Below are 25,245 nucleotides of genomic sequence, written 5' to 3'. Positions count from 1 at the left end.
ATAAACATACAGCCTAACACTCTACAAAGAATAAATTCTCCTCCTTACTTATCTCCAGCTCTAATCAATAAATGTGTATGTGTATGAAAATTATAATGAGAGGACAATGGGATTATTGTAACTTTTATTTACAAAGAAAATCATGTAAAATAGATTGCATGATAGAAACTGATAACTTCACAAAAGAGCAATTGTCAAACAGGAAATCTGCAGAGAGGTGCTTGTGATATGCTTGATGATATTACAAATATTACAACCAATACAATAAAATTACAGGAGTTGAACTCTAAATATGACATTTTACCAACTACTTTTCAGTGTAATAGAAATTCAGCTAAAATAAAAATGGCATTCAAAGATCTGGAAGGTGGGAGGTGGCAACGAAGCTTTACCAAAAATAACTGTGATGAAGGGAAGATTCCTAAAGCTAAGGCCACCGACTACACTTTCAGAGTTTATCATTTTTCCTCAAGGGCCTCAAAACGCTTACATTTAAATAAAACATTGCTAAATTCATCTAAGATATAACATCATGCAGACAAATTAAAACTGGAAAATTTATAGTGTAGTTACTGAATTTGAAAGAGGCAGAAGGCTTGATATGGGAACAGCTAAAAATAAGTATTTAACCCTTTCAGACAAAAACATTCAGTAATTTTTAGTTATTCTCAAATGTAGAATAGATATTGTATATATTTATAAACTAAAGAATCTTGGTGAGTGATTTTTGTGATATGTCAGCCCAATCATATCAAATATTTGATATGGAAAAACTCAAGTGGAGTTGGACTATAGTATTCATGATTATTTACCAAATTTATTCCTAAACTGCTAAAGTGAGATTTTTAAAAATAAACTTATTTTGGAATAGTTTTAGATTCATAGAAAAGTTGCAAAAATAGTACAGATGTTTTATATACCTGACCTCTAGTTTCCTTCATGGTTAACATTTTACATTACCATTATACATTTGGCACATTGCTAACAATTAAACTCCAGGCTTTATTTGGATATACCAGTTTTAATATTAATCTCTGCTTTCTGTCCCATCACCCACCTAAAGTAACAAATGTACTAAATCTAACATTTAGTTGTCATGTGTCGCCAGTCTCCTCTGACCTATGACAGCTTCTGAATCCATCCTTTTCTTTTTTTTTTTTTTTTGAGACGGAGTCTCGCTCTGTCGCCCAGGCTGGAGTGCAGTGGTGAGATCTCGGCTCACTGCAACCTCCACCTCCCGGGTTCAAGCGATTCTCCTGCCTCAGCCTCCTGAGTAGCTGGGATTACAGGCGCCCACTACCATGCCCAGCTAATTTTTGTATTTTCAGTAGAGATGGAGTTTCACTATGTTGGTCAGGCTGGTCTTGAACTCCTAACCTCATGATCTGCCCACCTTGGCGTCCCAAAGTGCTGGGATTACAGCTGTGAGCCACCATGCCTGGCCATCTATCCCCTTTTTTCCTGACCCTGACAGTCTTCGGGAGTACTAATCAAGCATCCTCAATATAAGTATGACCAGCTGTCCCTCAATCTAAGTTTGTCTGAGTTTTTTGTTTTGTGTGTGTGTGTTTTTCATTATTAAACCAGAATAAAATAAGACTTTTTTTTAAGGGAAATATCACTTGTTTAAATAGTCCTATGTTAAGAAGTCATTTTACGTGGGCAAAAAAAAAAAGCTGTGAAAACCTTCTTGCTTTATTCTGCTCGTAATCAGACCCCAAAACTAGATCCAACAAGGTTAAATCAGGCATTGCAGTTTTTGAGGTACGTGCAGATTTTAAGGACTTCTTGCGATTTAGTAAGGCATTCTTTCCAAGTTACTCTGCCTTTGAAAATGTTAGATGCCCTGCCAGCCAATTGGAATGGAGCTGGAAAAGAGTGCCTCCAGTGCCCCTGAAATTAAGCTGAACTGGGGATGCCTGGCTTTTGCCTGCTCAGGTTGGCGTTTTTCTGACACACAGATTTCTGTTGCCATGCTCTGGGGAGGTCAAGCAGGGTACATGCTGGAAATATCTTCGGTCAACAAGAATCTACTGTATGTCCTAGAGATGAGAAAAAATGTGTGCAAATGACATCTTTATGTACTAATCTTGTTTTTGTATTTCATCATTTAAATCATTAATCAAATAAACCATATAAGCTCCCAAAATAAAATGTAGTTTTAATAGAGATTAGGTGTCTAAACAGGAATGGAATTTAAATGTTAATGGTATTAAAATAAGAGTCAGTAAGGGATAAGAATGTTAGCCCATTTTCCCTGGCTTCTGCACCATTTATAGATATTCCATTGCCTTGGGTAGTTATTATAATAGTGAATAAATGGAAACCTACATAAAAGCTGTCTTTAAATGTGATACAGATGAGTAATTTAAAGATAAAGTTGTTCAAAGTTATTTTTACAACAATACGTGGGCAAATTTCCATGGTCTTATGACGCAGTTTAAGAACAGAATTTAGATTTTTATATCTAGTTATACATTTTGGATGGGGTTGAAAGGAGAATTTAGATTTAATGGTTACTTTTTATTCTTGTAGTCACAAAATACTGGGAGATAAGAATGTTTATATCTAAAACTATAATTTTGTAATTATTGATTTTCACATTCCCATAATTATTAGTATATCATCAAAATAGTTTAAATGAATACTTACTTATTTTCTTAATGATTTGGCTTATTATTACACTTGTCATAAAGAAAGTAAAGACCACATAGGTGGGAGAATGATCAGGGGCCTTGGAGTCAATCAGAACTGAGTTCAAATCCCGACTCAGACACTTTAATCTGCAACAAGTCATCTAGCCTCTCTAATTGTTTCTACATTTTTGAAATGGGGATAATGACACCATTGTGTGTTACAATCATTATATGATAAAATATACCCAAAGTACTATGCTCAGTTTCTAAAATAAAGCAAGTTACATTAATTGCTTTTCTATTTTATTCCTAAACAACCATAGGGAAGCCAATTTTTTAGCCTAGCACTTCTCTGGATGCACAGGTAAGAGATTTACTGAACAATTGATTCCCTGTGTGTCTTAGGGAGAGGGCCTGAGACTTGAATAGGCAGAGCAAGTCTAAAGAGAGAAGAAAACTGCTATCCAACCCATAAAATAAGATGCTTTAAACTCTTTAGAAAAGATGACAATGTCTTCCACAGATAAGTACCTCAGAGTGATGATTTAGAAAGTGAATCTTTTTTTTTATTATTATACTTTAAGTTTTAGGGTACATGTGCACAACGTGCAGGTTTGTTACATATGTATACATGTGCCATGTTGGTGTGCTGCACCCATTAACTTGTCATTTACATTAGGTATATCTCCTAAAGCTATCCCTCCCCCCTTCCCCCACCCCACAACAGGCCCCGGTGCGTGATGTTCCCCTTTCTGTGTCCAAGTGTTCTCATTGTTCATTTCCCACCTATGAGTGAGAACATGCGGTGTTTGGTTTTTTATCCTTGTGATAGTTTGCTGAGAATGATGGTTTCCAGCTTCATCCATATAAAAAAAAATACAATTGACAAGAAAATAAAAAGCTAAAGTATTGAATCTAGGGATAAACAAAAGAATCTTTGAATAGTGTGGTTGGTATCTACATTATGAATACAGAAATTATAATGGGTTTCCCTCTTAATAGGCTCATTTAAACAGAGTAACTGTTGATATGTCAAGCTACAATTAAATTCCATTATACCTAAGGATATTTGGTTGCTTGATTTCATTAGTAAAAATGAGAAACTGTATAGATATCATTCCTCAACAATATTTTAGAAAATGATTGCTTTGTTGTATATAAGTGCATTATCTAGCCAGAAGACACAGAACAAATGTTTCCAGAGCCCAGGCAGCTGGAGTTACATTTTATTCTGACAGTCACAAAATACTGCCCAGTGCCCACCTGGCCACAGTGGAGCTCTTGACCTGTCTGAATAGCTAGGCATCAGTCAATACCAGCTCATGGTTGTCTCATTAAATCCTCGGGTATTTTTATAAGTCAGGAAGTGTAATTTATGAGAAATAGCTGAAATTTTAAATGTTGGCAAGTAAATAATATATTTTCAAACCCCTTGGCAGAGCAAATAAAATATAAGTATGAACCAAATTTAGCTCATGAGCCAGTAGTTTGCACCTTTGGATCTAGATCAGCCAATCCTCAATAACTGCCCAATATTTTACAAGAAAAATCAACAGACTGGCATAACTTATTGTCTGTGGTCTAATTGGATGCAGACATTATCAAAACCTAGAAGGAAAAATACGTGTGCACAAACTAAGATTAAGCCAGGCACAGTGTAGTGTGCCTGTAGTCCCAGCTACACAGGAGGCTGAGGCGGAAATCCCTTGAGCTCAGGAGTTTGAAACCAGCCTGGGCAGCATAACAAAACCTCATCTTTGAGAGAGAGATTAAGAGCCCTAGCAACTAAGTTCCTTGTTCCTTGAGAAAACAGATTGTTCCTTGAGAAAATAGATTATGCCTTGTTCTTTTTTGTGGGCCAGCACTTAACATAGTATCTGTTCCATAATAGGCTCTAAGTAAATGTTTGTTGAATTAACAAATAAATAAGCTTTAAGAAAAATCTTGGTAACTCTGAGGGCTTTGTTATACTTGTTAATGTAAAGAAATATTCTGTCTTCAAAGGCAGCAAGAAAATAGAAGAAAAGGAATAGTGGTGTAGCGTTAGAATTTGGAGTTGGCTTGAAAAGTAAGAACTCTGTATTTTCTATATTATCAGAATATATCTATTCTAGTAATTCTGTAATACTGCAGTGACTAATGAGAGCTTTTGTAATATAAAGGGGTAAAATGAGATTTAACTTAAAACAAGAACCTAAACCAAGTATTTGTATGGAAATTTTATATTACAAAGTGCTTTCAACATGTTATTTTGCCTTAACACAGAACATCGCTCTGAGCTAGACATATATTGTATTCATTTTAAAGATGGAAAAATTGAACTATACGGGAAGGTAAGTGATTTTATAAAGCCTTGCATAAAATTAGCAATAGAACTTAATCTCTGACTCAGCTCATGATGGTTCTCTCCTAACAGGGAGGTACCCTGGGGAATTAACAATATAGAATTGAATCAGGTGAATTACATATGCACAATGGCACCTTCGTAAACAGGAAGGGTGGAAATGGCCTCTGCTATGGCACAGAAGAGGAAGGAAAGAAAAAGCATGGAAGGAAAGTGTAATGTTTTTCAAGAGGGTTTATCGATATTGGAGCACCTTATTCATCATGAAACTACTTGCCTATTGGTTAAGTCATTCAGCAAAATGACATAGATCAGCCTGATCCATATCATTTTATCTGGAAACATATTGTTCTGTGATTTTTTTTATTTCCTAGGTGTATGTCTTCTCCACTTGAGTGGAAATGTTATAAGGATCAGAGGCTAAAACATACTACAGTGCAAGACTCCAAAGCACTCTCTATTCAGAATTCATTGAATTTTTTTTTTTGAGACAGAGTCTCGCTCTGTTGCCCAGGCTGGAGTGCAGTGGCACAATCTCAGCTTACTGCAACCTCTGCCTCCCGGGTTCAAGTGATTCTCCTGCCTCAGCCTCCCAAGGAGCTGGGACTATAGGCGTGTGCCACCACACCTGGCTAATTTTTTGTATTTTTAGTAGAGACAGGGTTTCACCGTGTTAGCCAGGATGATCTTGATCTCCTGACCTGGTGATCCACCCACCTCGGCCTCCCGAAGTGCTGGGATTACAGGCATGAGCCACCGCGCCCAGCCTTATTGAATTTTTGATGGGTTAATAGGCTACATATATACTGGTGACAATACAACATAATGATTAAGAACATGGGACTTAAAGTCAATAGAGCTGTCGATGACCAGCTGTGTGACTTTGGGCAAGTTAACTCCACCTCCACGAGTCACATTGTCATCTGTAAAAGGGGTGACAGTAATAAGACTTAATCCATAAACTATAGTGAGAATTAAATAAATGAATGCTTGTAAGAACCTAGCAGCATGCCTGCTGATACATAATATGCCCTCAATACATGTTTTCAAAACTGCAACATACTGAAATTTCAAGTTAAGTAAAGTACATAAGCTAAATGTTGATATGTATACATTTGGAGAAGGGAAGTTTGGTGTTTCTCAAACATAAAGTGAGACGTTGAAAGAAAAATTTTAAAAAGTGATCCAAAATGTATTTTTAAAACAAATTTTTAATTGATCCCACATGCCATGTACAATGTAGTAACAGCTCAAACAAGAAAAAGATATAGATGCAGCATGATTTGCTATCAAAATACATTACAAACAAAATCAATTTGCAGACACAAGCTCACTAACTGAGGAAATCTTTCCACATGACATAGTTTACAAAGAAGAAAGAGTGAAGACCTGAGGTCTGGCTGGTCACAAAGAGGCCATTCAAAAGAAGGGATGTGTGAAATATTCTTTTTTGAGAAATTTTCCTTGTTCCCAGAAACACATGTAATTGTTATAAATGCATTATTTTATCAATGTCCAGCCAACTAATTTTCCAGCAAGTACTTGTTCTTAGATCTTTTATCTTCCCATATATTTTTTTAGATCCTAATTGCTCCTATGCACAGGCAAAATAAATGCAGTGATAGAAGTACATTAAAGTAAGAAATAAGAGAATACTAGTTTCTAAAAGGAAAATGATACACACTAAAAGATCTTCATTATATTTAGGGTGATATATATGAGAGAAAGCTACAGCCAAGCAATTGAATCTTTTTTCTACCCAAAAGTAGCAGAAAAAAATGAACAATCACAGAGCAAATACCATACATTAATTTAGAGGAAAACTTGATGCCAATAGAAGGTAATAAACTACTCCATTGACACTTGCATTTTCATGTCGTTAGTATTTACAGGAGCCAATTCATGGAGCCTAAAAACTATTATTAAGTAACACCTTAACTGAATTTTCAGCCTTTGAACTCAAGCATAGGAGTATCAGCCAAGCCCTCTCACACAACCAGCCATTGGACCAGCCCATGAAAGTCAGCCACAAATGTCCATTCAGAGAACATCCTCAGTTTCTCCTTGGCATCCTTCAGTGTCTGGGTTAGATTCCATAGGCCTGGAAGGCTTCTCCATTAGAATATCATCTCCCTGCCTCCCACTATCTTCCTTGGTCTCCTCGTGGAAAGAGTGTGGCAGGCAGTCCTGCTCTGAGTTACTCCAGACATAGCCAGGTAAAGTGATGTGGCTGTCAGGCTGTCTGCTGGCGATCTTGGCAGCTTTGCCAGAGATAAGCACCATGCGTGTGCTGGCCGCCACCTGTGACTGGCTGCTGGTGCTGTGCGTCACGGTGGTGAGCACTGAGCCGCATCTGCGGCTGCCACATGGCGGTGTCCTTTTCCAGTCCACGGAGAGGTTCCACCGACTCCACATCTTCTTCACCTCTGCCTGAACCTAAGCCACGAGAAACATGCTGTGCATGAGAAATCCTAAAGGAGACCCTGCAGCCTTGTTACAAAGATGTTTGCCTTGATTTCAATGACAGCAATAATCATTGATTGAGGTTCCTCTACGTGCCAGGGACTTTATCTATGACTTTCTCTCAACCTCAAAAAACCTTCAAGACAGGTGTTAGTTTTGGAGGTGAGCAAATTGAAGCTTAGAGAGAGGTGAAGGGACTTGTCCAAGATCAGACTTTAAACAGAAGTTTAAATGCAGCCCATAGAAATACCTGACATATGGGAGAGGAAAAAAAGGAGATTCTGGGTTGGAAGAGAAACTCAAGATAAACATTGCCAGTGAGAACTTCAGAACTCTCGCGTGGCACATGACAAGCCCACTGGAACCCCTGCACTGAGACCTGCCCAAACTCAAGCATGGTTCTAGCAGCACAAGGTGGCATCCCTAGGATGATCTCAGCCATTGATAGTGCCTGCCTGAGAAAGCTCAGTGCTGCCAGGAGAATTTACTATTTGCTCTAGCCAGCACACACCTGATGATAGGCCCATGACTCCCCTTTCTTAGGGCATTTACTAAAAAGGTTCACAATTGTAAATATGTAGCTCTTCTAACTCAGAAGCATCTCTCTCAAGGACCTGAGAGCCATCCCTTCAAAATATAAAAATCAAGAGGGATAAGGCCTCTTGTCTCCCAGTCTCTGTGGGAAGATAGAATTCTATCTTAAATAACTGCCTGATTGCTAGCACAGCTGGCCTAAACGTGTTTATACTGACCAAATATTTTTTCACTTCTTTGACTCTACTGAGCCCTTACACTCCACCTCCCTCATTCTCCCTTTAAAATGCCCAAATCACTTCTGTGTGAAGTGGAATTGGGCTCAGCTCTTTCCCCTGCTGTCAGTAGTTACTGAATAAAATCTGTTTTCACCACTTAAATTGCTGATGTCTTTGGCACCAGCTGAGGCTGAGGAATGGCGTAGAAGGTACTCAATTTGAAATGTAACTGTCATGCTATCAATCTGCATCGGCAGCCTAAAGGAGTCAGAGTGAGAAAAGAAGGCTCGTGGATAGAAAAGCAGGCACTGCAAATGCATTCTTAATAGGGTGGGGCTCTTATTTCCATTCCTACTACTGAAGATTCATTTCTACTTCAATTGCCACTTTTCAGAAGAGAGTTTATTTGGAAGTTCCATGGGAAGCAGTGGAAATCCAGTATGCTGATGTCACCTGAAACAACAAACTTCTATCTGTTCATCTTGGCAAAAACAAATCAACACCTGACTGACAGAGCAGAAGCACCATCATCTTGGATAAACACCACCACTTTAAGTCCAGCTCCCTTTCTAACCTCATGCATTTTGAGGAAATCACTTCCCTTCTAACAACAAGCAGCCAGAAAGAGCAGACAGTATAAAACACTGATAAGACAGCTCGGGCACAGAGGAAGTGGAGAAAGTCTCTTGGGTAACCACAAAACTTCACAGTCTACAATGGACCCCAGTAAAACAGTGGGTCCTAATAAATACATTCCTTTCCCTTTAGGTGCACCAAGATATGGAAGCTAAAAGCAGACTTGGGGGGCGGGGGGTAGGAGGGGCTGTGCCTGCAGCTGCAGGAAGATGTATGGATAAAACACAAAAATTCTCCCTCCCAGATAAGCAAGACAAAGAGATACAGAAGCAGTCCAAGCCTGTGATAAGCTCTCCCACCCTGAACCCTTAAAAACTCTTAGTCTGTAAGAGAGAAGGCTCTCTGACCTAACTTGGCCAGAAGCCCCTCCCAGGTTTATTCTCCTAAATAAACCCATCTTTGACTGTTGAGTGCTTTTTGGGTTTCTTTCCTCTTTCTTTAACTCTTAAACTGACCTACTTACCCCTCCTGCAAAATAAGGTAAGAACAATACACAAGTAAGTCAGGAAATTAATTTAAGCTCTTTCTGCAAGCACTGGACTAGCATGCCACAATGTCCAAACCCTAAACATGGTCAGAAGCATCAGCTGGTGTACCGCAATAAAAGTATCTGTGCACTTCTGGGGCCTGCAGCAAGCTTAAAATTTGAGAGAAGAAACATGGCAGCTCATCCAACAGCAGGGCATATTAAAAGTTACAAGGTAAAATGTATTATTATCTAGTGTAGTTACTTCTCTCCAGCCAACTCCTAAATGAACTAAAATTGTCCCATCATCATCTTATAGTTCAAAAAACATCAAAATATTTGAATGAATTTGTCCCAGGGAAACTAATAAGTTTTGTACAGAACTTAAAATGGAATAGAAGTTTAAGTATTAACCAGAATATGATGTTCACTGTCCATCCAAGTGTCTGTTTGTATTCCAACAAGTTGCTTTTTAATGTCAGAGTGTACAGATGAGTTCACATTTAAAAGTGCTAGAAGAGGAAGACTTTAGGTTATTTGCACTAATTCTTTCTTTTCCAAAATAATTTATGATTAAAATAGCTTCCTTCTCCTCACCCATTCCATCCTGGAAATCCTGGAAATTCTAAAGAGATTCAGGATACATTGTGATGGCCATTTACAAGCTGAAGCGAGACCTGTCCAAGGTTCCTACAAACCTACCTCTCCATTGCAGTAGCAGTAGATGATAGACACAAAGAAACCCTGCAGACAAAAGAGAAAGTCAGCCCACTGCCAACTCAGAAACTCACAGCACTTAAGCATCTTGTGCCAAAATGTGTACGTCCAAAAATTGTTTTTTATGATTCCTTCAGAGAATTATATACAAATTATTCTCTCCTAGTGTTTCCAAATCCTTATGTTTACATTAAATTTGTTTGACGTCTTTCCTTGGTGTCAGCTGAACCAAATAAGTCACTAAATAAAGCATTCCAAGATACACAAGGAATAGGTTTCTATCCTATTAGTTTCATTTATGTTGTGACCCATGGATCACATAATACCTATCCTCTGCTTGGTAAGAGGAAGTTATAAGCTGTAAATGCTGAAAACTACAAACATAAAGTATTGTATGGTAAGAATACAAAGAAACCTTTTATTTCGTTCATTCAAAAATATTTACTGAGCTTATGCAGTGTGGTAGCTGTTCAGCATGACAGGGGCAGGGATAAACAATGTAAACAAAACAGACAAGTTCCCTGTTCTAGAAAGGAAGAGACATGGATAAAATATAAACAAATAGCACATGAGAAAAATGCAAAATGAGAAGGGTTATGCAAGAAAAGAAATGAGTGATTTTAAAAAGAGTAATGTAGTGGATGTATTAGATGAGGAACTCAACAAAGTATCTCTGAGAGTGATACTCAAGTGTGTTTGAGTGACAAGAACAAGTAGCCAGCTGTGTAAATATTTGGGGAAAAAGCAGTCCAGGCAAAAGGAATACAAGTGTGAGCCCTAGAGGCAGAGGTGAACTTAAGCAACAGAACGTATGGAAGCAATATTGTGCCCTAACTTAATGAGCTACATGGAGGCTGGTGTGATACAGGGTGAGAGGCAGACAGGCTCCACGACATGCAGGGCTGTGTATGCCAAACAATGGTATGTGAGTTTTAGTTTGACTGCAACTGGAAATCTTTGAGTATTTCTGGCAAGTATATGACATGATCAAATGTATATTCTTAAGATTCTCCAGACTATCATATGTGGACTAGCAAATGAGTAAGCAGGACAAAGAGTAATCCATGTGCGAGATGATGGTAATTACAGCTTCAAATGAGATAAAATGTGTGCCAGCAACCTCTTCCTCAGTTTTGTCTCCCCTCCCCACTCCTTTTTGCTCTTTCCTGCCTTCACCTTCTTTTACTTTTGTTTATCTTCCATACACACAAGCAGAGGTCCTCATTCTTATAGGTGTTACATATTTTACAACAAGATGTTCCTTATCTCTCTGTCCAGGCTTTTTTTGTGTGACGAACAGCTCCAGAACTGCTCCTGCTGTGAGCAGAGGATTAACCTGACCTCTATAGGACAGAAAAGCACAGGCACTATAGAAATATTGACCTTTCTGCACCCCCCAACTCCCCAGACAGGTGCATCAAAGCCAGAGAGAGTGCAGAGAAAAAGGTTGTAAGTGACCAAAAGGAAAAAAAACTGCAAATTACAAGAATCAGATGACTAGGCAGCACCCTTTACCTGAAAGGAGTTGAAGAAGAGCTCACAGTGCATGCGGATCTCCCACCCGAGCCCAGTGAAGGAGTGAGGCAGGCATACGAACACGATGTAATGCACTCCAAAGACTAGGACCAGGACCAGTGTCGATTTGGCCAGTTTCCTAAAGGAGAACAGCAAGTCTTTTCATTCATTAACTAGAGTGCCTTTCAGTAAAGACAGCGTGCTGGAGGAAAAAAAAAACTTAGCAGAGCTAATGGGGGTGGGGCTGACACTTTCTTTTTATCTTTTCTTGAGACAGGGTTTCACTCTATCTGTCTCCCAGGCTGGCGTACAGTGGCGTGATCACAGCTTACTGCAGTGTCGACCTCCTGAGCTCAAGCAATCCTCCTGTCTCAGCATCCCAAGTAGCTGTGACTACAGGTGCTTGCCACCATGCCTGAATATTTTTTTAATTTTTTTGTAGAGACGGGGTCTCGCCATGTTGCCCAGGCTTGGGCTGACCTTTCTCTATCTCTTTGGATCCCACTGCTTCTGCTAGTTTTTTCCCTTCCCTCCTCTTTCTGTCACTTACATACTAAACCAGGTAGTTTATTCTCACTCCCTGTAATTGCTAGCCCCTAAATCTCTCCAGTCTTATTTCCACTCCTCTTGCTTAAAGGAGTCTATTTACATAAAGTTGTAAAATGCCTTTTTTCTGTCCTAAGTTTCCTTTAACTTCTATATTTGAGACTTAAAGAAGTGTTACTTCTATCCAGATTAACTGCCTTTACTTTCATAGAAGTAGTTTAGCTTATTTTGTTCATTTTAAAATCAATTACTCCCTTGTTTCTTCTTACATTTGTATCTCCATTTTTCACTGATGATGCTTATTTTGGGAGACATTTTATATTTTTCTATGAGCCATATGTGGTCAGTTCATCTTGACTTCTCTGAATATTCTCTGCCAAATACTCTGTCTCAAGGTGCCTTTAGGTCTATTTTGTCTGTCTTTTTGGCAAACTAAGTAGTTTGATATAGTTTCATCATTCTCCTTAACTGCCTCTTTCTACAAGTTTTCTTAAGTATTTGGAAGAATTCCAGGCTTTCCAATATGATGGTTATTCTAAGTGGGCTTCCATGATCCCCCCTCCTGCTATTTTTGCCCCTGTTTTATCCTTTCCCTCTAAGTGTAGGCAAGACCTGGGACTTGTGTCTAACCAGTAGATTATGGCAAAGATGACAGCATCCCACTTCTGAGATTACATTGCATAAGGCTGTAACTTTCATCTCACTAGCAGACTGGCTCTCTTGCTTGGTTCGATGAAGCAAGCCACCATGTTGTGAGCTGCTATACTGAGAGGCCCATGTAGCAAGGAAAGGTGGCATCTGGACAACAGCCAGCAAGTAACTGAATCCTACCAACAATCACATGAACTTAGAAGTAGATTCTTCCCCAGTCCAACCTTAGGATAAGACCACAGCCCCAGCTGACAAATCAATTGCAGCCTGGTAAGAGATCCTGAAGCAGGGGATCCATACCCAGATTCCTGACCTACAGAAACTGGGAAATAGCAAGGGAGTTGTTTTAAGCCGCTAGGTTTGTGGTCATTCCTTTTGCAGCAATAGATAGCTAGCACCCTCAAGCATACTATTTTCTGGGAGGTTTTCCTGGAGTGGGTGAGGTTATACTTTTTATCCAAGAAATTGCCAAATCTGGCTTCTTCTTTCATAATTATTGCAAATATCTCCCTTTCTCTGTGAATTATTTACACTCTAATAATCTCAAACAATTGACCCTCTTCCTTTCTCACTAGTCTTTCCTCCTGCTGCTTTATTTATCTGTTTTTCTTCTTGGAAATAAGCTGTATGAGTGAGTACAGATCACACTAGACTAAGGCTACAGAGATCTTGATTCAGGTTCCATACTTGATATTAACTACCTGTGTGAGTGTGATTTAGTTTTATCTCCAAAATGAGGAAATAGGGCCTAGAAGTCCATATGAGCTATAATATTCTCAGGCTTTACTGGGAATCATCTTCCATGTACATACACTTTCCTATCATAACCCTCTTGACAATAGGAGCTAGAATGTCCCATAAAATCATGTTGAAATCATATTGAAATGCCTAATGTAGAAGTAGGTAGAGTTGTACATTTCCTACACCTCATTGTCCTCTGCCTGTCTTATCTCTCACTAGTACCTGAACCATCTGCTCCACCCACTCATCCTCACATTCAGAGCTTCCCTGCAGCCTACGGGCTTTCTCCTATGCTGCTCCTGGTACTCACACCTCCTACTTTGAGTTACCTACAGCCTATTCAATATGAAGATTCTACCTTAAATCTATTCCATCCAAGGCAAGATCCTTGATAAACAGTGGGTTCCTCTGACCTAACTGGTCCTTTCAACCGTCAGGGCTCCCTGGGATGTGCTTGTTCTCCTGAATCCTGATGGTGAGTGCCCCCTTCCCACCACTGCCTATGTGGGCAGGACACTGAGTGCCTTCATGGCATTTTAGTTCAGCCTAATCAGATAAAAGGGGACAGAATTAACTCACTTGCAAAACCTTGAAAGTCTTGTCTAACATCACTCTTAAACAAAAATTATATTTCCTCCTTTAAGATGAAAGGGTAAATCCTCCCAGAGACCGTTCTCAAAATCAAGCTACTGATTTTTCCTACTGTGTATGACTAGGAGCCCAAAATTAAGTTAAAACAAAAAATACACCAGTGTAGCACATTGTGAAATTATCACAAATGTAAACATTGGGGACAGTTTGGTTCAATGCAGAATAAGGAAAATTTGCTTTAGGCAACCAAAATGTAGTGGGTATCCTCCAGGCTCAGCCATCTGGGTTTTTCTCCCTTTTTTTCTAGGACTAAGCTCTTCTATAACTCCATGGAGATAGAAGTTTGTTTATTAAAAACAGGTAGTAATTATATTCATTTTCTATTGTATAACAAACTAGTATGAATTTAGTGGTTTAAAACAATACTCATTTGTTCTCTCTCAGTTTCTATAGGCTAGGAGTCCAGGCACATACCCTGGGCCCCTGGCCCACAGTCTCTCAAGGCTGAAATTAAAGTGTTGGCTGCATTCTTATCTGGGCCTCAGGGTTCACTTCTAAGTTCATTCAGGTTGCTTGAAAAATCTCAGATTCTTGCAGTTGCGGGGCTGTTTTTTGGCTGTCAACCAGTGGTCACACAATACCTGCAGGCTTTTCTCAGGTTCTAGCTATAGGCCCTCACAACATGTCAGATTGCTTCCTCAAAGCCAGCAGGAGAATCTCGCTCCAAGCTCACAGGATGGAATCTTATATAACACATCATAATCACAGGAATGACTATCCTAACATCTTTGTCATATAAAGTAAACTAACCAATGGAAAGGCTACCCCATCATAGGTCTTAACCACACTCAAGGCGAAGGGTATTGGGGGAGCAGGATTTTACAAGGCTTATACACCCATGGGCAGGAATCTTGGGGGCCAATATAGAAATATGCCTACCACAGTAATGCAAATAATTCCTGCCCATAGAAATACAAATTCTGTCCAGTGGAATGTAACTAATTATAGCCCTGTGAATACTGATGAGCTTTGCTAGTTTGCATATGCCAGGCAAATGTGTACATGGGTCATGGGTCTGGCTGTTCACTTAAAATGGACTTTTACTCTCTATTCAAATCATGTAGCAATCCTGGGCACTGATTTTTTTCAGCGTCCATATGGCCACCCATGCACATTGTACGTTTTTATACCCTGGCTCTCTGAAAATGCACAGCTGTCCAATAAGATGATTCAGGGATGTACCAACTGATAGCAGTCTTCTGGTTTGCTGGAAACATGGTGTGGTCTGTGTCCAAGGGCAAAGCCACGAGAGGAATGCAAAGAAGTCAGGTGGTTTTGGGACTCAGTGTCCTGTTTAGAAAATAGATTCCTAATTCTGTGCTCTCTCTCCCTAGGTGATGTCTCTCCAGGTGAGCAGCTCTAGAAAATCTCTGATTTTCTTTTAAGAATCAATTTAGCTTTAAAAAATTACTATTGCTCTTAAGCCTTTCTTGATCAATTCCCGTGGCCTTGAATTAATCCTTCACTCTTTTCTGTATACATAGCACTTTGTATGGGCATCTCTGTTGGTACTTTCCCCATTTTATTTAATTAAATCAATCATAGTATCTATCTCTCCCACTCTCTCTGTCTCTACCCATCCCCACCTAAATTGGGGGTTCAAGGAGGGCACTCAGCATGACACTACTGGCCATTAAGCACCATGCTCCTGTTACATCCCATGCTGTTTGCTTCATTTTATTCTAACAACCATGGGAGAGAGCTATTATTATCCCATTGCCAAGAGAGGATAGAGGCTCACAGAGAGAAAGTATCCATTCAGTGTGATGCAGTAAGTGATGGATGCGGCCTTAAAACCTCTCCTCTTTACTCTCATGCTACGTAATAAATACCGGTTGGATTTATTTTAAAAAAATAAACATTAAATATGAGTTTTGTCTAACATTAAATGGGAAGTGAAATTAGTCAAAACATTCAAGTATTCTTTTTCACTGAATCTTGCATTTTTTCATATCTGTTTTTCCAGACCTGGCAACCTCTTCCTACTTTATGAAGTAATTGAGTTTGAGTTGTAATTTAAAAGGAAAAAAATGTATTATCCATCTTATTAAATCTAATAGATGACTGAATTTTATTCACACAATTTTGTTTTAGGGTAAATGATTGTAAACTGTAGTTATACACTATGCCACCATTGAGGGAAACTGGTTAAAGGATATATGGGATCTCTCTGTATTATTTTTGCAACTGTATGTGAATCTACAATTATCTCAAGATAAAAAGTTGTTTTAAGAACTGATTGATTCACTCATTTCCATTTTAAACCACCATGCCAACTAAGGGATTTTATGTACTTTTCAGAAGTCTTTCTTATTTGTGTGTGAGCACACATTCACCTGGAGAGATTATCTCAGCTCCGAAAGGTGTTTTCTGTTTTTCATAGTAGTATGCATGGAAACATGCTCTGTAACTGTTTTAGATGCCACCATTTGGAAATTTTGTATTGTTTTATTTTAGCAAGAATATTTGAACATTTGTTAGACAAAGGTAATAACAGAATGGAAGATAAGTTTAAAGGTACAAAATTAGCTGATATAAATTTAAATACTTAATTAACCCTTATCGTAGGAACGTCACTGAGACAGGGACACAGATTTAATTTTCCTAAGCCTATTTAAAAAGTGAGATGCTATTTAAACTTGGAAATCTAAGGCCTCAGAAACAGAATATGGAATTGAATTCTCAAATTGGTGTCAAGTAGGTTCCCACATTTTTCTCTGAAAAAAGAATCACTCTTCACTACATTTTTATCTGTGACTTAACTTTGGACATAATTAAGGATATTAAATATGTTTCAGCCATTAAAAAATGTATTTAGCTGAAAAATACTTTTTCTGACTTCTATTAGTCTAAACTGTTCTCATTAACAATTTCATACTTGAAATCTTTGGGGCACCAGATTATTTCAAAGTTATTCTGAATTCTGAGTAGTTGATTATTTCAATCCTTGATAAATTATTCTCTTCAATTGTTCTTGGAAATAATCCTCCATGAATTAATTCAAAATATTGTCTATTCTATCCATTTTTAAAGATAGGCCACCCTTTGTTCCCTCCAAAATTTCTCATGTCTTTTGAGCAACACTTTACTAAAAGTATTAGTTCACGTCATTCAGAATTAAAGAAATAAGCAGCTTTGTTCAGAACTAAAGAAATAAGTAGCTTCTAAACACCACTACACTCTTCCACTTTATGAAGAAGAGTGAAAAGTTATTTACATTTTTTATTATTCTATCCTTTGGCCTATGTCTTCTCAGATGGGATGTGACATGAGAGACAAGCTATATTAGTATAGCATAGACCTTTCACCATAAACTCATGCACAATGTATAATACTACCACTGACAGCATATTAAAAATAACTGGCACTAGCAGCTGCTGATTTATTAATACTGTGCATTCTATGGGCATAGGATACTGTGAATCCTGCAGGTCATACCTGTAGTCTTTGCAGCTCAACAGTAAATACTACCTGCAGGGACCCCCCCTGAAACTATTGCTAAGGAATAAAAGTTGAAATGCTCCTGATTATTGTAAATACAAAGTTGCATGCAGGATTATGTAAAGACAATGCCAGGTTGGACTGCCAGAATGAGCCAACAGCACGTGATGTGCTTCCCCCTGCAGAGAGCCTATGAATGGACGTGCAGTCAGGGAGGCTTCACATCACCAAGATTCCTATCCCAGAAAAGCAGATGTTCGTGGCTCTGGGAATGGAAAGCGACCCTTGTGGAGAGCCTATAAACGGACGCATGGGGGGTGCCTGTCCATATGGATAAGATAGGGCTATAAACGCCCTCATCTTGGACAGCTCTTCAAGGCCTCTTTAGGGTTAAGGCATACTCCCTTCTGAGAATTTCTGGTCTAACCGGTTGTCTAGCTTCACTTCCTCTTTCTGTGGATTGTTTGTAATCAGCTTTTGCTGCAACTGTTACTGCTGATTAATATCTTGCTAATAATAGGTTATGGAAAGAATGTGTTTCTGTTTTAAGGCTCTGTTAGAAATTACTAATGCACACACTATATTGTAAATTCTTATCTCTGTATACTGTACTTCTGCATACAAATGTTATGTTAAAGAATTACTTCATCCCCATGTGACCATCTCACCTCATAATCAAACGACCCTAAATCTCTCACTAACCTACCCCACCCTCACTAAACTTAATAATAAATGCTGGTATATCCAGTGCATTGTTGGCACTGTGGGACCAGAAGGCGGTGACCCCCTGGACCCAGCTTTCACTATCTTGTGTGTGTCTATTATTTCTCAACCTGCCGATCCGCCTGGGAACAAAGAGAGAGCCCCGTTGCATTGTGGGCTGCTGGCCAGATCCCACAATAACTACCTAAATGGTGGAGAGGACTAAATCAACGAGGACTTATGGAAGATTTGTGAGAGAAGATCAAAATGCTGACTATGATGTTTTTCCTCTCTGTGTCTGAGATAGCATTTCATAACAATCTGAGACAGAAATAAATAGTTAACTGGAGATTATAAAGCCAAATCCACATCTACCTGATTACTAGATGTATGTGTCCAGTTGGATAGATGCCACTAATATTCAGAATTTCCAAAATGATAATTATGCAAAATGCACACAACCTTAAGATAGTTTGATAATAATCACAAACATTCGATTTGTCCTTTTCTTCATGAAAGGCTGAAGAATGGACCTCTCTCAGTCAATATATTTGCATATTTAGTGAGAGACAATTTGATGTAAAGATTAAAAACAATACAGCAAATCCACTTGATCTTTTCAGTTATGACATATTTGTAGAATGCAAATAAAATTGTCTGCCAAGATCATCAAGATATTTTCTGGGAGTTCATATATAGTTGATGAGAACATCCCAATCTGCTAAAAACAGATCTTAAAATATATTTAGAATTTAAGCACAAGGGGTAGCTTTTGGGGTTACTTATGTTTTCTTAATATATATATGCTTTTCTGATAAATCACACAATAAATATACATTCATAAATTTAATCTCTTAAAGATATTTCAAATCAATTTATATCTGTTCTTTACTTAAATAGTAACCAAAGGCCGGGTATGGTGGCTCATACCTGTAACCCCAGGACTTTGGGAGGCCAAGGCAGGCAGATCACCTGAGGTCAGGAGTTTGAGACCAGCCTGGCCAACAGGGCAAAACCTCATCTCTACTAAAAATACAAAAATTAACTGGATATGATGGCGCACACCTGTAATCCCAGCTACTCGGGAGGCTGAGGCATGAGAATTGCTTGAACCCGGGAGGCGAGTGAGCCGAGATTGTGCCATTGCACTCCAGCCTGGGCAACAGAGCGAGACCCTGTCTCAAAAAAAAAAAAAAAAAGGAAAGAAATAGTAACCAAAATATTTCCTCTGATGGATGCCTCTCCTGAAATTACCTGTATTGCTTCCTTGTGTCATGCCCAACTGCATTGGTCTCCCAGATTTTGGTAGCTAGAACTCTAACCGTATTCAGAAACAGAATAAAATTCAGCTGAAAAAGAAGGTAAGATTACAAAGAATTATTGTTAGTCTTCAAGATTTTTATAAACATTTACATAAATTGAAATTTTTTCCATTCAAATAAGAAAAATTGCCCATTTCATAAATGTGAACAGGGGAACCTGAGATCAGATATTGGAAGGCTAGTGATTCTTGATTCACCCTCATGAAAACACAAAGAAATACAAAGTTTCAACAACACTGAAAATACCAGAGGATGATCTGCTGGGATCCACAGGAGCTTTCTAAACTGAAGTTTAGATGAAGCCCTTTGGCAAAGTGGCAGGACAAAGGGTAATAGTTATTATATAAATGTAATCAACTGTCCTCTTTAAAATGAATTCTCAGCTACTTCTCTACTTTAGAGAGAGGAATAATAGAGCTATTTTGGGGATTCACTCTGTCTATGATGTATGAAAAGTATTGGGTGAAGGTGATATGAAGTGTGTGTTTTTTTTTAAAGGGAAGTAAGATGTTACATAAGAAAAGGCTCCCAGTGTAGTCAATGAGATTGATTTTTTGAATGTTATAAGTGTGAATACCATTAGAGATAATCAAGTTCTGGCTTTTAAAAGGGGAGGGAGGGGAGTGTTGAAGGAATAAGCCCCTTTCTGTCTGAGGACCTCAAGGATCAGTGAAGACATTCCAGATGAAGATGAAGAACATGTCTCCAGGTCTGGGGTCATAAGGGGATGGAGGCCTGAAACTCTGGGTCCCTCCATTCAGGGAGATGTCTGCTTTCCAGAAAGTGCTAGTGCTTAGGAATAATGGAAATGTAGATTGCCAACAGTAGGCACTTGTCCCTGCCAGAGCAGGGGCAGAAGAGAAAGCCATCAAGTCCTGCAGTCCTGGGGATAACTTGTCTGGCAGAATCCTCAATCATTTCTAGAAGTTAGAGAATTTTGGTTATCAGAGGATTTGTGCACCTCAGTCCCAAATTCAGCTGACTGACTGTATCAGCCCTGAACACCCCACCAAACTCACTGCTATCCGACCACTGACAACCCTGTGAGCACCTCTCAACAATCACAACTTTCTACAAGAACTGAGGGCTAGGTCTTGAGCCCCACACATGGGGGAAAATCAAAGTTGTGCTGTGAGCTGATGAAAGGAAAGGGATGTTTCCAGGCCGATAATAGCTGCCATTTATTAAACATTTTCTAATTTAAAACCTTACATGAACATGGAGGAGACACTTTTATTTTTTTACATCCATTTGTTATGGATGAAGAAACTTTAGCTCAAAGAGATTAACTGCTTTAACCTGGAATATCCACCAATCGGCTAGAATTTGAACCAGGTCTATGTGAGTCTGTATTGTGAATCCTTAACCACCATCTGATACCTTCTGTTCAGGAGGACAAAAAGATGCAAAACATGAGAGTTGAGGATTTCCATCTTCACCCACTACAACTCGCAGCTCACAGATAGATTTTGTTTTAATAAGAAGGTGAAAAGCTACTTGAGTACTGCTCAGGTCACTGAGAAAGAAGCACGTGAGTGCTACTTTCTGAATGACAAGATTTATTTCATGCCCCATTAATTCCTGTCTCTCTAAGACAACAGTCACCGGCAATACGATGTAGCTGAGGTGAAGATATTGGGGAGTGATGCATGGAACTGCTGGGTGAAGGACTAAGTGCTAGGAGCTGAAGCTGGAAGAGCTGTGGGGCAATACCAGCTGGATTGCCATTTGTCACACCTTATCCCGGAAAAGGAAGAAGTATAGATGGCTTCTGATGGGCCAACCTTAAGCTTCACCTTATTAAAAGACCCAGGACCAAGCACTCTGTCCTTTAGTAGACTACACTAAATAAATCTGCACCCCCCACCCCCAGAAAAATTGGTTAAAGGAAATACATGCCGATGAGTCCACCCATTTAATAACTGAGAAGATACGTTCAAGGCCAACCAAATTGACTATGGAAAGAATTAAGAATTTTAAAATATTAAGACCAAGTAAAACTTGATGCCTTAAAAGATAAGTAACAAAATACACACATGACATATATACACACATATTGATACATGCGAGAACAGCTGGATGAAATTCTAAATAATTATTCTGAATAATTTAGAAAAATATAGACTATGGGTTAATCAGAAACTAAGTTATTGACTACTAACTATGGTAAATGAATTGACTCTTAGTCTCACAGCAGCTCTATGAGACAGGCATTTTCTTGTCCCCATTTCACAGATGAGGAACCTGAGGCACAGATTCCACATATTTTGCCCAGCCACACAGCTAGCAAGCGGCAGGGCCTTAATGCAGCCCATGCGGCCTGGATCCACACTGTACACCCTTAACCACTGCACTATGGTGTCCATAAAATAGAGTTGAGTTAATAGTAGACTGAGATGGAGACAGAAATTTAAGAGCAGGATTGATTAACAAAAGATTATAAGGAATCTAAAATATAACCAAATTTTAAAATCACTATTAGAACAAAAAACAGTAGATCTGACAAAGCAAGAAAATGAATTCAGCAATTTAGGAGACACCTGAAGAATCCTCCGAAAGGGAGGGAAAAAGAACAAAGACTTGAGAGTTTGAGAAAGGGTGTTCGAGTGAGGATGTGGCCAGGGATATAAGAGTGGAAATCGCTACACTTTTGGCTTTGATGATGGAGGAAGGGACCAAGAGTCATGCAATGCCAGTGGCCTCTAGAAGCTGAAAAGGATAAGGACTCCCCCCAGCACCTCCAGAAGGAAGGCAGCCCTGCTGACACATTGATTTTAGGACTTCTGACTTCCAGAACTGTAAGAGAACAAACGCATGTTCTTTTAAGCCACTAAAAAAAGAAAAGAAGAAGAACAAAGACAGCTGTGAGGAGGTATATGAGGTATAAGATGCCTATCTGGAGGATGTGGCAGATTACTTCTTTTTCTGAAGAAAAGATAACAATAGAATAAATCAATAAAAACATAACAGAAGAAAAATCTTGCACTAAAGGAAGACTTGAGTCTGCAAATGGGAAGGTGACATTTTATACCAGGCAAAAGAAATAAAAGAGAATAAGACAAAGAGGAAGTTTCTGGTGAGATTTTAGTAGTAGTAGTACTAGTACTAGTAGTAGTGCTAGTAGTACTAGTACTAGTAGTAGTGCTAGTACTACTAGTAGTAGTGCTAGTACTAGTAGTAGTGCTAGTACTAGTAGTAGTGCTAGTACTAGTAGTAATTTTTTTAAATTAAGACATAATTCTAAGAAAAAAATCATTAAAAGGTTCTTGTGTATTTCATGTAAACTTCATGTAGGAAAAATTTTGCTTGAAGCAAACTACAGACAAAACAAAGCAAAGAAATTTAAAAAAAGAGAGATGGCTTAGAATAACATGACCTTTAATAAACATTAAAGCCAATAACACATAGAATGAATTTTTTGTAAATATGGTTTTAAAATAATGCAAATATAGAAATCAAATTATTTTGCAATTAAAGATTCATTTTTTTAATTCCAATAGTTTTGGGGTAGAGGGGTTTTTTTTTGTTACATGCTAAGTTCTTTAGTGGTGATTCCTGAGATTTTAGTGTACACATCACCTGAGCAGTGTACACTGTACCCAATATGTAGTCTGCAATTAATGATTTAAATAAAAGTAAAGATTTGTTCAGAGTGAACCACAGATGAACTAAAACAAAGAAAACATTTCAGCCATGGAAGTGCCGGCTGCTCAGGCTGTCCTGTCTCTGAGACTTGGTTCCTGGAGTTTTCTTTGCCTGGATCGTTTACTCTCTCCACTCATTCGCCCTTCCTAGCCAAGTTCTCAGGGTTCAGGCTGAATGTCACTTATTCTCAGAAGCATTTTTCATGTTTAAATGTTAGTCTCACTCACTAAACTTTAGCTGTGGGAGAAGAAATTCATGTCTATCTTCTCCTCTACTCTCTCCTCTCCATTGCCTCACACAGGGCCTGCAATGTTCTTGGTGTTTAATCAAGATTTGTCCAATGAGAGTGAATAAATAGGCAAATGAGATATGCGTGCTCTAAACACTACTTATACTGAGGTAAATCAGCACATCCCCCTTCAATGTAGAATTTTCACTTCTAGGCATAACTCGCAAAAGATGTAATCATTTAAAGAAGTCAAAATTTAGGCATAGAAAAGGTAACTTGCAGTGAGCAGACTTTCTCTGCAGCGTCTCCAGGGATAGGAGCCTACCCTTCAGCATCCTGTGCCCAGGTGGGAAGATCCTGACTAATTATGGGGTTCTTCAGTGGATCCACTTGTCTAACTGAGCTAGGGTCACATCATCCACCCCAGCCTCCCGCAGCAATAAGGTTCTCCCTCACTCCCTTACTTTATATCTTAACATGTTTAGAATCAGGGCAGCCAAGAGAGATGCTATGTGTTAGTTTCCCTCAGAGACACTCTAAATACATCATATCTGCTCACCCCATGTATTGGCTTATTTTTCAATATCACAAACATAAGAACTTTTTTGCTTTGTTTATTTGCATATTGGTACTAAATGCTGAACTTTTACATAACAGGTAATAAACTCCCTGATCTCTATCAAATACTATAATTTGATTATCTGTATCACAAATATAAAGACAAAATATATAGTTCATTTCTAATCAGTTGGAATTCAATTTATAACTTGGAGACAGTTTCTATGGCAAATGTTAGAGCTTTAATTTCATTTAAAGTTATATTTCTAACTGACTTAGAAAAGAAAAGGAGTTCTGAAGGGGAGATTTTTCTCTGGGGGAAAAATCAATTTGGTATTTATAATTGTGTCAATGATCAGAGATTAAATTTTATCCATTTTTCTTAAAATTCCTTCCTTCCTAGTCAACCCTTGTTTTTGGTGACTGCACCTCTCCCTGCAACTGGGAGAAAATGAATCACTCACCCAAGAGCAGCTGAGAAGCATGTACCTTGTTTGTCCCTTTCTTTTCATATTTTGAAAAGTGCACTAGATATAATATTTTTTAAACTTATCACCTAAAATATTTCCTAAAGGCCTTTACTAGAAATACCATCTTATTCCTTCTGCCAGAGCTCCCTAAGATACCTTGGGACAGGTATGCAAAACAAAACATTTATTTAAAAAAAATTTAGCTCAGTATTTAATGCACTCTATGTAGTATGCAGCTTCCTCAGGAGTCACCTACTTGCTTAGTCATTCAATGTCATTCAATATTCAAATTTGATCATTACTGATACAATGAGCAAACCCATGATAAACACCACAAACTGTTTATTGACCAGAAAGATTAGTTCTTAGCTTGGATACACAATGATGATGTGAGGCATGATGAAACAAACATCTAAAAGTAAGTAAATATATGCCAATAAAAAGTGACCTGAAAAAGAAAGAATCTCCACTGCCCCATATATTCCTAATACCCATCAACATCTCTAATGCAAACCACAAGGTGTCAGTTACGTTAGTTCTCTGGAGGGTTATTTAAAGGTCAAAATCTCTGCAATAATGTTGTCAGATAAACATTGGACAAGATATCCCCAAAATGCTTCCCAACTTGAACATTCTTTGATTCTATGAATTATTTTTATGGAGTTGCCAGAAAAGGAACTACTGCCTGAACTACTGCAAAAAATAAGCATATGAATTCTAAAGTCTCAATGAGTGCCAGACCCTAATTCCCTAATAGGTT

The 25,245-nt window shown here is 38.5% G+C and overlaps 1 protein-coding gene across 9 annotated transcripts in view, besides 1 other annotated feature; it reads right to left on the bottom strand.

The window, feature by feature from the left end:
* Positions 4,289 to 4,489: a silencer, noted in NCBI's record as "peak4030 fragment used in MPRA reporter construct". NCBI's record gives its function as "represses an SCP1 promoter by STARR-seq MPRAs in K562 erythroleukemia cells {active_cell/tissue: K562}" and the evidence as "EXISTENCE:reporter gene assay evidence [ECO:0000049][PMID:32103011]".
* Positions 6,174 to 25,245, bottom strand: part of PTH2R (parathyroid hormone 2 receptor) — a 134,815-nt gene continuing 115,743 nt past the window's right edge. For 6 of the 9 annotated variants that reach the window (NR_163994.1, NR_163992.1, NM_001371905.1 and 3 more), the window contains 4 exons: positions 19,516 to 19,610; positions 11,530 to 11,668; positions 10,000 to 10,041; positions 6,174 to 7,416 (listed from right to left, as the gene is read on the bottom strand). Coding sequence is in view for 5 of the 9 variants with exons in the window: in NM_001371905.1 (NP_001358834.1) it covers positions 7,021 to 7,416; positions 10,000 to 10,041; positions 11,530 to 11,668; positions 19,516 to 19,610 (672 nt within the window). In the remaining 4 variants the exon portion in view is untranslated. Of the gene's footprint in view, positions 7,417 to 9,894; positions 10,042 to 11,529; positions 11,669 to 19,515; positions 19,611 to 25,245 lie in introns of all 9 variants that reach the window. The other 3 variants (NR_163993.1, NR_163991.1, NM_001371907.1) reach the window with 3 other exon arrangements.

Source organism: Homo sapiens, chromosome 2 (genome assembly GCF_000001405.40).
Source record: "Homo sapiens chromosome 2, GRCh38.p14 Primary Assembly".
Taxonomy (NCBI): Eukaryota; Metazoa; Chordata; class Mammalia; order Primates; family Hominidae; genus Homo; species Homo sapiens.
The sequence above is the reverse complement of the archived record's forward strand: the minus strand, read 5'-3'. Positions and strand labels throughout refer to the sequence as shown.